Source organism: Homo sapiens, chromosome 2 (genome assembly GCF_000001405.40).
Source record: "Homo sapiens chromosome 2, GRCh38.p14 Primary Assembly".
Classification (NCBI taxonomy): Eukaryota; Metazoa; Chordata; class Mammalia; order Primates; family Hominidae; genus Homo; species Homo sapiens.
In genome coordinates, this window is record NC_000002.12 from 29266017 (window position 1) to 29281292 (window position 15276).

The 15276-nt window shown below is 48.6% G+C and overlaps 1 protein-coding gene across 2 annotated transcripts in view; it reads right to left on the minus strand.

Moving 5' to 3' along the window:
• ALK (ALK receptor tyrosine kinase) overlaps positions 1-15276 on the minus strand; it is a 728813-nt gene that overhangs the window by 73243 nt on the left and 640294 nt on the right. For both annotated transcript variants that reach the window (XR_001738688.3, NM_004304.5), the window contains exons 10-11: positions 9386-9480; positions 9083-9211 (exon numbers count right to left, since the gene is read on the minus strand). Coding sequence is in view for 1 of the 2 variants with exons in the window: in NM_004304.5 (NP_004295.2) it covers positions 9083-9211; positions 9386-9480 (224 nt within the window). In the remaining variant the exon portion in view is untranslated. The remainder of the gene's footprint in view (positions 1-9082; positions 9212-9385; positions 9481-15276) is intronic.

The window sequence follows — 15276 nt, forward strand, 5'->3', positions numbered from 1 at the left end:
AAAACAAACAAACAAAGCATCTCCAATTTAATCACTTCAAATTTGTTTAAAAGAATTTTCGTGAACAAGGTTTTGACGCATCCATTGTTTTCAAGATCTTGATAAGCTTTAGAAGACTAAAGATCCTCTTTTAAATTCTACGGATGAGAGGATTTTTCGGGCAATCCTCTATACCCCACACAAATCATTTATTTCCCCCAAGGGGAGTTTGAGGGCTTTACCTGAAAACTGATGAGCAATTAGGTTGGGGGAATTTACTGAATGAGAGGACACAAAATTCAAGATATTAACCTCCCCTCCAGATACATATTTATGTGTATACATAAGAGTGTGCAGCTCATAGAATTTCGTGTATACACAAAAGTGTGCACAACTCATAGAAGGAGGTGGACTGTAAATGCACTGAATATTTATAGAAGGCAACACATGAGGGGTGAGTGAATTGGCCCATCTTTTTGCTTACATATATATTTAATAATAATGTTAATTACAATGTCACAACAGCATTTTATATCAGCATATTGTTTTGTACCTTTGAAAGCCTGATAGAAATGATCTCATTTGCTCAGTACAATAGCCAGCTCTGAGAAAGAACTGTGGCAGGTAATTAATATCCCTACTTGATGGATGAGGAAACGGGGCCCAGAATCTTTGACTCTCCTGAAGTTGCATGGCCAGAACCTTGGTCTCTGGGATTCTATGCCAATTCACTTACTGTCTTGCTATTGCCTGGCACTCAGTAGGTGCTTCGTGACTATTTAAGCATCTGTAGAATATTGAATACATAGTCTTGAGATTGATCCTAGGAATTCTGCCCATCAGAATCCCCACTGGGCTCCCAGAGCTTCCTGGTGAATGTTCGTCTCCAGCATGGAGAAGCCACTACAGGCAGGCTCTAAGATGGCCTCAGTGGTCTCCAGCTTCTGATAATCACACCCTTGTGTAACCTCCTCCCTTTGAGTATAGGTGAGATCTGTGAATTGCTTCTAACCAACAGAATATGGCACAGATGGTGAGATGTCGTTTTCTTGCTTATAAAATTATAATTTCTGTATTACTAGAAGACTCTCTCTCTCTCTCTCTCCCCACCCCACCCCCTCGTCCCCACACTAGCTTTAAAAAAGTAAGCTGCCATACTGGGGAGAAACCAAGGTTGGCCTCCAGCCAGTTAGGAAGTGAGGCCCTCAGTCCAGTAACCCTCCAAGAACTGCCAACCACCATATGAGTTTGGCAGTGAACCCTTCCCCAGTAGAGCTTTCAGATGAGACCCCAGTCCTGGCTGACACCCTAACTGCAACCTTACGAGAGACTATGAAGTGGAGGACCCAGTTGAGCTGTGTCTGATTTCCTGACCTGCAGAAACTGGTATAATAAATGTGTGTTGTTATAGCCACTGTGTTTACGGTCATTTGTTACAACACAATAGATAACTATCCAGGCACCCCAAATCCCCTGCTGCACAGCTGGTACACACTTTGGCCTCCTCATCTTTTGTGTAAGCACCCAGCAGGGAGGGCACTGGCTGGGCTGAGTTCTGCCCTGTGCCCTCTCTCTCCTCCCTGACTCCATGATAGCTAAGGCAATTCCACCTCTTGTTTCTTTTCCTCTCAATAGGAGAGGGGCAAGCTGGGAAGACCACCTTTTGTGATCAAGAGTTAGCATTTTAACCTTTTTACTCCTAGATTCACTGTCCACCTCCAGGCCCGGATGAATTAAAAAAAATGTTTTTCTTTGTCCAAAACCACTGAAGCTTTGCTGCAACAAGCAGAGAGCTAAATAGGCTCTGAGAAGATGCAGAGCTGTTTTACAGGCAGAAGCAGCAAGTCTGAGAGAAGAATGATAAAAAAGCAGTCTTCCCAAACAAGTACTTAATGCACTTGCCCTGATGGAGGGGCCTTTGTGTTCTGTTAGTCTTCAAGCTAAATGATCTTAATCAAGGCATACTGAGCCCAGAGTTCCTGGATCATTTATTGTCTCTCACTTATGCAAGCTTTCACTGAAACAAATGAGAAAAAACAACATGTTTTCTCAGGCCAGCCAGGAGAGAGAAAGGCAATGGTTCCTGTCTGCTGCTTAGAAGGGCAACAGTATCGACTTTATGTGGAAGCATTTTGTCAGCAGCTTTGCCATAATTCCAACCCCCACCTAGCATTAGACTGGAGGTTCATGAGGCATCTTTGAGTCTGTCAGAGCTGGGTGAGTCTGTGCTATTTCTTAAGGAGGGCCTGAGTTTGGGAAGTTCTGAAATAATAGTGTTGATGCCTTTCTATCTCACAGGACACATTTTGAAAATGATGATTAGTTCAGAATAATTTGCAATGCACCATCTAGGGCAAGGTCAAGTGAGGGCACCTGTCCTGGTTCTAGAGGTGATCAGAATCAGAAGTCTCTCTTGTGCTGGGATAGTAGTGGCTTCATACTGGGCTTATGCAGACGAAGCTTTGGGTAATCATTTTTCAAGAGAACACTTTGGCTCGTTCACAGCCTCAGAGCCCCAGGCCCCTGCATAGGGTTTGGCACAGAGCAGGCACCCAGTACATGCTTGTTAAATTGAACTATATGAGTTGTTAGTCCCTAGGCTTGGGATTCAGGGAAAGCAATGATGTTGTCTGCATTGGGCGCTGAGTTGAATCTCCCGAGTGGAAAGAAAACAGCTGATTTGGATGCAGCAAGAGCTTCTCCCTTATGCTGGTCAGCAATTGGGCAGTATTTAGTATTGTTCCTAACAGGCATGGGCTTAGAGTTGGAAAGACTTTGGATTGAGCCGGCTTGACTTTGAACCCTGGCCCTGCATTTGATTAGTGGGTCAAGTCACATAATCTTTCTGATCCTCTGTTTCCTCAATTGTAAAATGGGAAGAAAATGATGGCTCAGGTAGCTCCGTATGTGTCAGGCACCTCTCTAAGCCCTGGATACATATAAACGTATGTGATCCTTGCATCAAACCTAAGCGCTGTAAGCATTGATAATCTAAGCACCATTTTTTGATGCAAGGAAACAAAGGCACAGACAGCAGAAGGGAGGTGCTTAGAGTGAGTGGCATAGCTGGGGTTTGGACACAGGTAGTCTGTGCTCTTAAAAAAGATGCTATATTGCTTCCTGATAGTGACATCTCCCTCAGGGAGTCTGTGAGAATCAAATGAAAGAGACACTGAATGAGCTTAGTGACTGTCACCCTGTGTTCAGATGGAAGGAGGTGGCTGACAAATGGCGGAACACACTCTGGGAAGCTCTATTGCTGATGGGTGCTTGGCCTTCAGCCCAGCCTCCAGTTCCACCCTGTCACCGTCACCAGGTCCCTGGAGAAGTGCTTTCTCACCATCAAGCCAACCCTGGTGTTCACTGATGTCCACCTCTTGGGGATGCTGACTGGCTCTCCAGCGTGAAAGCCTCTTCCACTGGAAGAGACTCATTAGCGTTGGTAATGGGATCATGAATCACAAATTAGTTCTTTGCCACCTCTCTTCCTGGAGCACAGCTGTGCTTGCTCCAGGGAAGGGAGACACACCCAAATGAATAGTGACATTCTAATTGGGAGGGCGCCGAACGTGCTGCGATGACTGGGGTCCCAAGAGCCTTGTTAAGGCTGGTACTTCCTGCGTCATCACTAGTGTGCTTGCTATAAATAGGTGATAATCTAAAATTAGCGAGATAATCTAAAATAAGCAAGAACACAGAGCATGAGGTTAATCAGCAGGGCAGCTGAGCAGGGAAATGACCAGTGTCTCAAGCGGCTCCAAGGGTTCTAACTACGGTCCCATGCCTGCCACCCCTTAATGAACAGTCCCCCCCCAGCTGAATGGGTGCTAACAGAAGTGCCTTCCAAGTGCACCAGTGAAGGCTGGGGAGCATGGAGGAATGCCAATTAGCTGCAATTATCAGCTTTCTTACATGTGCGTGGGAACACTGCCTGCCTGGGGCACCGTCTTGAATGTTAGTGAAGATGCAGATGTGCTCTGTTGAAACGAAAACTAACATAAGAAGCCAGATCCCTCTGGAAGACCTATTCAGTAATGAAAGAGAGATCCCTCTTGAAGACCTATTCAGTAATGAAAGAGAGATCCCTCTCGAAGACCTATTCAATAATGAAAGAGAGATCCCTCTTGAAGATCTATTCAGTAATGAAAGAGAGATCCCTCTCGAAGACCTATTCAATAATGGGATTCCTAAAAGATTTCTTTATCACAACTTTGACCTTCTAAATGTTATCTGGCTTAGAAATTTTCACTTTCTGCATGATTTTTAAGAAACATGATCATTTGCCTTTTACACAAGTTGTCTAACTTAGTGCAAGTTAGTTCACCTCTCTGGACCTCATCTGTTAAAGGGGGATACTATGATAGCACCAAGAGCTCAGCACAGTCCTGGCACACAGCAGTGCTTGGTGAATCGCAGTTAGGATTGCTGCGTGAAGAGGGAATGTGATGCAAAGCCTTTGCTTTGGGCCAGGCTCCTTGTCTGTAGGTCAGGATGCAGTCCCGGGTTCCTAAACTTTTTTGCTAATCAAACTTTCCTTGAGGGATGGTTAAAAATGTGGATTTTGACTTCCTGCTCCCAGACATTCGGATTCCATAGGTTGACAGGGGCCCAAGAATCTGCATTTTTAACAAGCAGCACTTGCAGACACCAGGGGACCCAGATGCTGATGATTTGAGGACACACTTGGAGAAACCTGGGGCTGAATCTAGTTCCTTGGCTGGCCAGCTCACTGCTGCACTTGTGAGTCCTGGATTGCGTCTGTAACTGGGGATTTCTGGGGAAAGCTGTTAATGATGCCATTAACACAAGAGTCTATCTGAGTTCCCTCCAGAGGGAACTTCCTGCTTCCTGCTCTGACTTGTCTCTGGACTTCTCACATCTTGGACCTCCCACCTTCAAGGCTGGGATGCAATGATGAGCTGTGGCTAAAGAGAGGAACTTGGCTTCCTCCCTGTCCCCAGCATGGGATTTTCTGCAGGGCTAGCAAGGAAGAGGCCAGGATTTTTCGGAACTGGATTAGAATACATTATTGATTCAGGAACGGAGTGACTCTGAAGGGAAGAGGCCTCCTCTATTGGGGTGTGCTACTGAAGTAGGCTTGGCCGGACCTGCCGGGCCTGAGTGCAGCAGGCTCTGAGGGGAACAAAGACCCCTATCGAGTGGAAAGACAGGGTCTGAGGGAGGATGCAGGCCTGTGGAGCCTGCCTTCCAAGGATGCCGTCATCCCCAGAAGGGCGTACTTGGAACATAATGGCTCTAGCTACAAATTCTATTAACTCTAATAGTTGTTCTGTGGTGAATGGATAATGCATTTAGCAGAAATAGACCCAATCAATTTATATGAAACATATAAAACTTTCTCATTGGAATTGGCATCTGTTCTTGAATCAGGAGCGTGTGTGAAAGTGGACAGCCTGTCACCCTCACTTCTGGGCACATTAGCAGTGCCATGGGTTAATTGGAGATATGGGCCAAATAAAGCCATGGCTCCCTGATGGTATCGCCCTTCAACCCTTGGAATCTTGGAGCTGGAAACGGGAAGGGACTTGGACACTGTCTACTTCTAACCTTGATTTTTTAAAAAATTGCAGTCTCTCTGCCCTTGTCTGTGTTCACATTAACCCCCCTCATCTGCAGACTTGCCCCGATGGGAGGACCTGCAGAGGCAGAATGGCCCCACGCCCACGGCTTGCCAGTGCAACCAGCCAGGGCCCAGTGGGGGTGTTCTCTCTTTTAGTCCAGTGCTTTTCCCATGACACTATATAGTTTTAATTGCTTTTATCCCCCCTTTGGCGAGAGATGTGTATGCAGAAAATGGCAGACCTACCTCTCACCAAATAGCTAGAGGCAAGGCTGTGGTTTTGATGCCAAGGCTCCATAGTTAGGGTTGTGGAGTTGGGCCCAAAGTTTGGGCGGGTTCTCCCATTAGCTGAGCTGATTCCCTTAGACTCGCCCTGCACAGACAGCCTCTGAGCTCCAAGGAGAAGGATAGAGGGGTAGGGAGGTTGAGGAAGGGTCCTTGGGCCCTGGGGGGCCTGCTTGTCCCAATCTGGGCTTTTTAGGGAAAGAGTGTGGCAGAGCCTGACTGTTCCTCCTCACTGCTAACATTCATTACTGCCAGAGAGAGACAGTCACAGGGAGGGGAAAGAGATAGAAAGAGAGAGAGAGAGAAGGAGGGAGTCGGGTGAGGGAGAGAGAGAGAGAGAGAGAGAGAGAAGAACCTGGCTCTGCAGCCCCGTGGTCACATTACCCCAATCATTTGGTTAGTGTAATTGTATGTGCAAAGCTGACAAATGTAATTTCCCTGGACTTAATACTTGCCCCATTTTCTCTTTCAGCATCTTCATCTGATTAGCTAAAGTGACTCAGAGTCTTCCGAGAATGCTGCATGAAGCACCTGGACAGGATTTTCCCAGCCTGGAAACTTGAGCGGCTCAGCTCTGCTCCATGGGCCTGGAGGTGAAGAACCTCCCAGATCCAAGGAGTCAGGCTGAGTCCCTCATCAGAAGGGAGGGCTGCTGTGGGGAGTGAGGAATGTTTAGGGAAGCTTAGAAGTGTTGTCAGTAACTGTTCTCAAAAGACCCCAAAGGGCCTTTGCGTTTCTAGTTCTCTAAAGCCTGCCCGGAGGAGAGTTGAAATGCCACCAACCACCTCGTTCCAGCCCAGCAGAAACTGACAGCTTTGAACTTTGGAAAGAAAAATCTTATTATCCTGTCTCCTCGATTGTTTGTCAGAAGGTTGGGAGCTGATTTGTTTACTGTTCGTTCAGGGCCTCTTGGCTGGAACTCTTCCCTGCTCTTTTCCATTTTTAGTGTTTATCTCCGATTGGAGACTTTGATACCTAGAAGTAGCTTAGTTGGGTGAAAGAATGTGGACTCCAGGTTGACTTCCTGGCCCTACTGCCTTCCAGCCTTGGGGCCCTTAAATTCTTCCATACCATTTTACTCATCCCTATAATGGTAAAAACAGCAACTGTCCCTGGGCCTGTGTGAGGACAAGCTGTTGTGTGAAATAACCTAGGCTATGGGACCACGCTCTATGATCTTTCCTTTCCTTTCCTTCCCCCTCTGGCCTATCCCTCTGTCCTTCTTCAGGGGGCCTCCCAGGTAGAAGCTCTGAGCTTGGGCTTTGCAAACATGCCCTGCTGCCTCGTAGGCCACTCTCCTCCCATGGCCCAGAAGCTCCAGAATGGCAAGAATTGGCTCAGCCCTGTCCCTGTTGTAACCATGCACCGTGCTGGGCACGTGTCTGCTGGGTGATTATTACTGACTGGGTGTGGCCTTGGCCTCTGCCTCCATGAGTCTGCCTGGACCCATAGGCACTACCTCAGTATTGCTCTGAGACTGGGGTTGAGAATGAGGGGTCAAGTTTCTCAGTGGGGAGACTTGTGTTCCAGCTGCTGTCTCCTCCAGCCTGTAATTTTATTTAGAGGTGGTGGGGGAGTCATCGCCACGTGTGAGCCACTGGTGATTTCATTAGTCTGAGTGGCCATTGGGCAGGCCCTTACTGAGTAACCTTTTAGGGACAGTGGGAGTTATGTGGCAATAAACTCAGGAGTTGAGCAGGGTGGATGGCTGTTTCCTAAATGCTGGCTGCAGGGGGCTGGCTGCTGACACCTGAGATCCAAGCTCAGGCATCCAGCCACCCACTAGTCAATAGATGTTTCTGGAGTCTCTGCTGTGTAATCAGTGCTGTTGATTAGGCTGGGCAGGGGGCTATGGCTATGTTTACTTAGCACACTAAAAGGGGAAGTCTGGCTTCTTCCCTCCATTTATAAATTTATACATTTCCTGAATTTATAACAGGGAGGTGGTAGTTGACCAAGAGCCAAGGAGAGAGTGGAGGTGAATCACTGGGCCTGGGGGGTAGGGCACTGAATGGAGAAGTTAGAAGGCTGCCTCTATCAGGTGAGACATTGGCATGAACTGGGAGGTGAGGGGGAAAGCAGAGAGAGCTGCAGTTTTGTAGGACGGGCTCCCCTCTGTGTGGGAATATACAAAGGTCTTTCATGGTTCTAGTTAAAGGGGAAGGGAGGGATGATGCGAAAAGTAACTAACTCTTTCTCCTGGGTCTGGCAGCTGGATTAGATCAGGCAGGAATCAGGAAGGGGTGACGGTTAGCCCTGGGGCAGCTTTTCATGGGACAGAAAGGAAAGGACTCCTTCAAAGACAAAGCCATGCTAATGTCTAGTTCACATGTTGAGAGCAGATGTGGCAAAGGTATGGACCTCATTTTTTGTACTTTGTGCCAAAAAAGGATTTCACATTATAAGTTGAAATTAGAGATTTATCATTGATCTGTTATTATTTTGATAAAGACTTATCTTTTATAGGAAAAAGAGTGTGGGTAGACTGTGTGTTGTACACTTGTTTCTCCAGGCTATACATAGCAGAAGACACCTCACAGGCCCAGGCACCAGTGCCTGCCTGGGAAAATCCCTTGGCTGGCTGGCATGGGGCTGGGGCAGCCTTAGTCAGCTTCTGCGGGGCTAGGTTCACAGCCGCTGGTCTAATAGAAGAGTGGTGGAGAAGTCACACCTGTGGTTTATAACCAGAGGCTGACGAGTTCTGCTGAAGTGGCAAGGGGCCATGAGAAGTCTTGGCTTGGGGTATGCTGAATAGAACAGCTTTGGAGGGATCTGAGCTCTGGGGGAACTGTGTTGAAAGGAAGCTTTGGGGGCTTTACCCATGATGGGGTAGCCTACCTTTGTGCAACAGATAACCTTGGCCAGGCCCAGCCCTCTTTATAAGGAGGAGAAATCTTACAGTAAGCTTTGCTTTGTTCAGTAAGGCGGCAGTGAATTCAAAGCAGAGTTGGGGAAAAAAATGCCAGCTTGGTTCTCTCCTTTGGGTGGGGCCTAGGTATTCCCTAGGCATAGAGGAAGCTGCTCCTTTGTACAACCTCCAGAGGTTTCCTTTGCTCAGGCAATATGAGAACCAGACAGCTTCCCCTTGGACCCCATAGTCAGAGTGTAGGTGATACTCCTTCTAAAGACTGTTTCATTCTTTCAGCACAGCTCCCCACCCTAAAGACAGCACCAATCTTTCTTCTGCCTTTTGCAACAAGAAGTTACTGTGCTCACATTTGTGAGCTGAACCCTTACCTGTAGGGTCAAAGATGGGGGTCTGTCTTGGTGAATTTTCCCCGGGTTTCAGCTCCTTGTTTGGGTTTCTCTCAAACAGGTTTCTTGATTTGGGTGCTGTATTCTGCAGGATCTTGTCCTCTCCGCTAACTGCAATAGAGAAGACCCCACGGGCTGAGTTAGGTGAGGGTTGATTTCAGGGTGAGAGATGATTTCACACTGAGGGAGGTGGGAGAGACAGTCAGGCTTAGGCTGAGGAGGGGACAATGAGGCCATGGGCCATGGGGGTTGGGGGACAGAGTGCTGGGGTCAGAGTGAACTCACTGGTGAGGTAGCAGTCCAGGCTGATGGAGATATTGTCAAAAGCCACGATGGCTCTGGATCCTTGTCCCCACCATGCGACCATCTGCAGCCAGAACCTGTACACATCAAGAGGAATGTGTGTGAGGAGCAAACTGGGGGGTCTTGTCTTAGGATTCAGCATCCAGCAGGTGTGTGCTGATCACCTGGCTCAGAATGTGAGTTTGAAAAAGGCTCGCTAATCCCAGAGCAGTGGCGAGAGAAGAGCAGTCAGCTCCCCCTACTTCTGCAATGCAGAGCACTTCCCCTTCCGAACTATCGCTCCGTACTGTTAATGGCTGACACACTGGTCCTTAAATCCAGCCTGGAGTTTGGGGCCTGGGACCAGGACTCCCTGATAATCTGAGGAGAAATCTTTTGCTTTCTGGGTGTGCAGGATGCTTGGAAATGGGAAGAAATCTGACAGTAACTGCTTCGTTCAGTAAACGGGGAGTGATTTCAAGGCACTGAGTTGGGGAAAAAAATACCAGCTTGGGTGTCCTGTTTGGGTGAACTGAACAGGAGAAATGGGTAGGTCTGACATTCAGCCAGTGGGGCTTAAGTCATTATTAAAATATTAAAATGCTTCTGTACCAGCCAATAAAGAACCACAGTTCCACCAGTTCCCCTTGCTTGTTGCTTCAGGCAACTGGCTCCTTCCCTGCTGCCCCGACCCCTCAATTTCCCAATTAACCAGCACCCATAGGGTTTATCCATTGATTAGCCCAGCAGGGGTCTCAAGCATCCTGGGTTTCATCCAGCATCACTGGAGGTTGCCTGCCTGGTGGTTAAATATTAAGCGACTTGACTATCACCCCTGGAAGTGTTGTAACCAACACAGGGGTCATAAAAGTGTTAACAACAAACCCATTAAGATATTGTTTCTTTCCCCCACCCTTTCATATCCTTGGAGGGCCAGGTTCTCAGACTGTGGCCAGGGAAGGCCTTACAGTGACATAAACAGGAAAGTACTTTTGGTTTGTTTGTTTCCTGGGAAATCATCCCATGGAAGGCTAGCAGAGTCAGCTGGCCCTTTCCTGCTCTAAGTGAAGGTTTCCTGAGAACCTTAAAATCCTTTCCTACCCTCCAGAACGTCAATCCAGAATGACATGCAGAACAGGGCGTGGTCTCTGGCATGGGTATGAAAACACCAAGAGAAAGAAGTCATACCCATCCATTGGTGACTGGGCAAACTCCATATGGTACAGCCATATGATGGGACGCCAGTCAATGGTCAAAAATGGACCCGGAGACGTGCTATAAAATGGATGGACCTCAAAGACGTGATGCTAAGTTAAAGAAGCCAGACAGTAGGTGAAAGACCGCCTATTGAATGATTCCATTGATAGAAAATGTCTAGAAAAGGTAAATCTGTGGGGCCAGAAAGCAGATTAGTGGTTGTCTGGGGCTGGGAGTGGGCACAGGATTGACCGCAGACTAGCACCTAGGCTTTTTTTGGGGTGATGAAAATGCTCAGAAACGGGATTGTGGTGCTCTCTCCACAGCTCTATAAATCTGTTGGAAGTCACTGACTTGTACACTTAAAGTGGGTGCATTTTATGATATATAAATTACAGTCTGATAAAGGTGTTAGAAAAAAAGGAGAGAGAGGAAGAGAGAGGGAACCCAGGCCACAGGGCATTGGCCACATAGGGTGTCAAGAGCAGAAAACCAGAGCAGGGTGGCACTGGCAACATGGAGAGAACAGGGCCTGCAGGGTACAACAAGGACAAGAAATGGGATGTCAACAGTGGGAGGAAAGATGCAGAGGAAGAGATATGGAAAGAAAGGGCATTTGCTCATATGGATTTGCAGTGAGGCAGCAAAGCTTTAGCCAGTGGGTAAACTACAGCAGGGGTTGGAAGCTCCCGTTGCGCCTGTGTGCAGATGATCTCTGATCAACGTGTAGAAGATGCTGGCTTGTTAGATGCTGGCTTGGTTATTCCTGGCCAGAGAACAATTACTGTTTCCATGGAGCAAAGCCTTGAATCCCAAAACTTTTATCCGAATAACTGTGATCGATTATGCTTAACTGAACTACTCCATACATTTATCTGTGCTTTCAACCATCTTGTGAGATCTGGTCATTCAGAAACAATCCTTTCTGTCTGAAAGTCACAATTACAGGACCCAAATCTGGTTTGATTCTAAAGAAGAAATGCCCAAATCTGTTGTAGCCGTGGCCAGCATCACTGGGGTTGGCCCTTCAGGCCATATTCCCCATGAAGAAGTCTCCATGCTACCCTCAGTCAGGATAGTGTGTGCTGGTGGTTGGGTGTGGAAGGAGAAGTGCCTGATGGAGAACCTTCAAATCCTGTTCTGGGTGGCTTGGGCATGCCAGATGAGTGTGCAAGAGGGGATGGACAGCACAAGGACCCTCAGCCCCTGCCACTCTGGCACTGGGGTGTATGCCTCTGAGAGGCATCTCTCATTCCAACCTTGATACACACCTATTTTTGTTTCCTGTAAAGCTATTACATATAGGTCTATGGGGCATTCTAAGAGAAATCGACATGAACGCTGCATTCAAGTTACTTATTGTCCAGTGTGAAGATGAAGTGTGTGTACCTTGGTGTGGAATAAAGTAGAAGGAGGTCAATGCTTCATAAAGGTGCAGATACAGCAGTGTGCGAGCTCAGAGGAAGGGGGAATTACACCAGGGTGGGGAGAGCAGGAGGGCTTCACAGAGAAGACAGTATTTAAGTTGGTTTTGAATGCAGGGAAGGGCTTGAGGATGTGGGTGTGGGAGTGCAGTGCAGGGAGGAGATGTCTGGAGCAGAGGAACTGGTGTGAGGGCCATGTGGGCAGGGATAGGACCTGTCCTGCTGGGGAGCAAGGAGTGAGGAAGGAGGTAAAGATGGTGTGGACCTCTGAACAGAGATCAGGCAAGGAGGTTCTGCCATTATTTCAGGGAAAATGGAGAGCCACTGGAGGTTTCTAACAGGACAGTGGCAAGATCAAAGACCTCTTAGAGGATAATTGTGATGGGAGTAGTAAGCAGGATGGGGACCAGGAGAGGAGGCAGAGGCAGGGGAGACAGCATGAGAGGCATTTCTGCACACATCTCACACGCCTTCATCAGGTTTCTCTACAAATCTTGGCAAGGTTATAGCCACGATTTCCGTGGGGTCTCCCCATGGGAAACAGTCCATAGATGAGTTTCTGGCTTGAGCCTCTGTAACCCTGGACAAAGCCCAAGCCTGGGATCTCAACTGGAAAACCAGGGCCCTAATACTGCTGTCTTGTTAAAGCAGGTGCAACCCTTAGGAAAATGCTGCTTCCAGGTAGCAAGAAAACAGGCACTTAGAGTGACAGAGAGGGTGAATAGAAGGACTCAGGTTCCCTGTGGGAGCATCAGGAAGGCACAGCTGCCTGGCTCGCCTGCACATCAGGGGGTGAGTGCCCCCACAGGGCACATTTCTCCACCAGGTCATCATCTCCTAATCTGTCATTCACAGGACCAGGGGCCAAGCCAGGCCCTGGTTTCAATGCTGAGCTATATGAGGGGTGTACCTTCCAGGAGGCCAGAGGGGCTTGAGCGAGTAAATGACATGTGTGTGCCTGGGGGGGGGGACAGAATCGCGGCTATCCTCTAAATGGGTGCTCCCTGGGAAGCTGCATGTCTCCCTGCCCCTCTCTGTGCCTTCCTTCCTTATTACTAAGAGATTAGATCTGCGAAGTCTCTCACAGCCACTGGGCCTCTTAGCATGGATGGGATGATGCCGGCTGAGGCTGGAATGGTTTCTAAATAGAAGAGTTTCTAAAGTGCTCTGCGCGGCGACAGCAGTGGCAGCTGCTGCTTAAAAGAGTTTGATTGACACTGTGAATTGCACATATTTTGAGTCAGGAACACGCACAACCATCAGGAAGATTCAATCAGATGGCAATATGGAACCAGGCAGTGCTGCCTCTGTCCACCCGGGGCCACCCACACATGGGTGCCTCTGTCCATCCATGGGCCAACCCTCCCCCATGGCTCCAGCCCCCAGAGGCTGCAGGGAAGGGACAGTGGGACAAAGGTGGGACAAAGGTGAGCTGCTGAAGGATGGGTGGAGGGTGGGGCAGGAGCAGAGGCCGTCTAGGAATGGGGTCTGTGGGTGGTAGGTGATGGGCAGTCAGCAGGTAGAGCAGCACCAATCTAGGAGGCTCTTTTCTGTGGATGTGCTGGCCCAGAGACAGAGTGGGCATCAGGACCACCCAGATTCAGGTTTCCCTACTTTCGAAGGTGCCTGGTTGTGTGTCTTTACCTGATAGGTGAAGAAGAGGTTGCTTCTGGCACCGCTTACTGTCTCCTTGCTGGAGATGGGAAAGGCTTCCTCAAGGCTCTCGCAGTCTCCTGGTTCTACCCACTCCTTTCCGTGAGTCCCCCAGAAGTACAGCTACCATGTCACTCTCCAGAGTCAGCTATGGCCTCAGGTCTGGAGTTCTACCACTTACTAGCTGGGCCACTTTGGGATTGAGGGAAAGTTCTGGCATGTACCAGGTGGACCACCATGGGACTGAGGGAAAGTTCTGGTATGTATCAGGTAGACCACTCTGGGACTAAGGGAAAGTTCTGGTATGTACCAGGTAGACTACCAAGGGACTGAGGGAAAATTCTGTTATATACCAGGTAGACCTGACACTTAGTTGGGACCTGACACACTCTGGGACTGAGCAAGAGTCCTGGCATGTACCAGGTGGACTGCTGTGGGGCTGTGGGAAAGTTCTATCATGTATGAGGTGGCCCACTCTGGGACTGAGGGAAAGTTCTAGTATGTACCATGTAGACCACTCTGGGACTGAGGGGAGGTTATGGTATATACAGATGGACTACTCTGGGACTGAGGGAACGTTTTAGTGTCTACCAGGTAGTCCATTCTGGGATTGAGTGAAAGTTTTAGTATGTACCATGTAGACCACTCTGGGACTGAGGGGAGGTTATGGTATATGCCAGGTGTACCACTCTGGGACTGAGGGAAGGTTCTGGTATGTACCAGGTGGACCACTCTGGGATGGGAGGAAAGTTCTAGAATGTACCCGGTGGACCACTCTGGGACCGGGGGTTAGTTCTAGTATGTACCAGGTGGTCCATTCTGGGACTGACGGAAAGTTCTAGTATGTACCAGGTAGAACACTGTGGGACTGAGGGGAGGTTGTGGTATATACAGATGGACCACTCTGGGATTCAGGGAAAGTTCTAGTATGTACCAGGTGGACCACTCTGGGACTGAGGGAAAGTTCTAGAATGTACCAGGTAGCCCACTCTGGGACCAAGGGAAAGTTCTAGTATGTACCAGGTGGTCCATTCTGGGATTGAGGGAAAGTTCTGGCATGTATCAGGTGGACCCTCTTGGACTGAGGGAGAAAATTCTAGTGTTTACCAAGTAGACCACTCTGGGACTGAGGGGAGGTTATGGTATGTGCCAGGTATACCACTCTGGGACTGAGGGAAGGTTCTGGTATGTACCAGGTGGACCACTCTGGGACTGAGGGGAGGTTGTGGCATATGCCAGGTGTACCACTCTGGGACTGAGGGAAGGTTCTGGTATGTACCAGGTGAACCACTCTCGGACCGAGGGAAAGTTCTAGTATGTACCAGGTGATCCATTCTGGGATTGAAGAAAAGTTCTGGCATGTACCAGGTAGACCACTGTGGGACTGAGGAAAAGTTCTAGTATGTACCAGGTGGTCCATTCTAGGATTGAAGGAAAGTTCTGGCATGTAGACCACTCTGGGACTGAGGGAAGGTTCTGACATATACCAGATGAGCCACCCTGGGTTTGGCTGAAAGAAAGCAAGGACCCTGACACATCACTGCCAAGACTGCGAGGGACAGGCCATCCTAGAGAACATAGTTACTCCTCTGCCCCACTTTGAAACCTCAGCTCTGGATG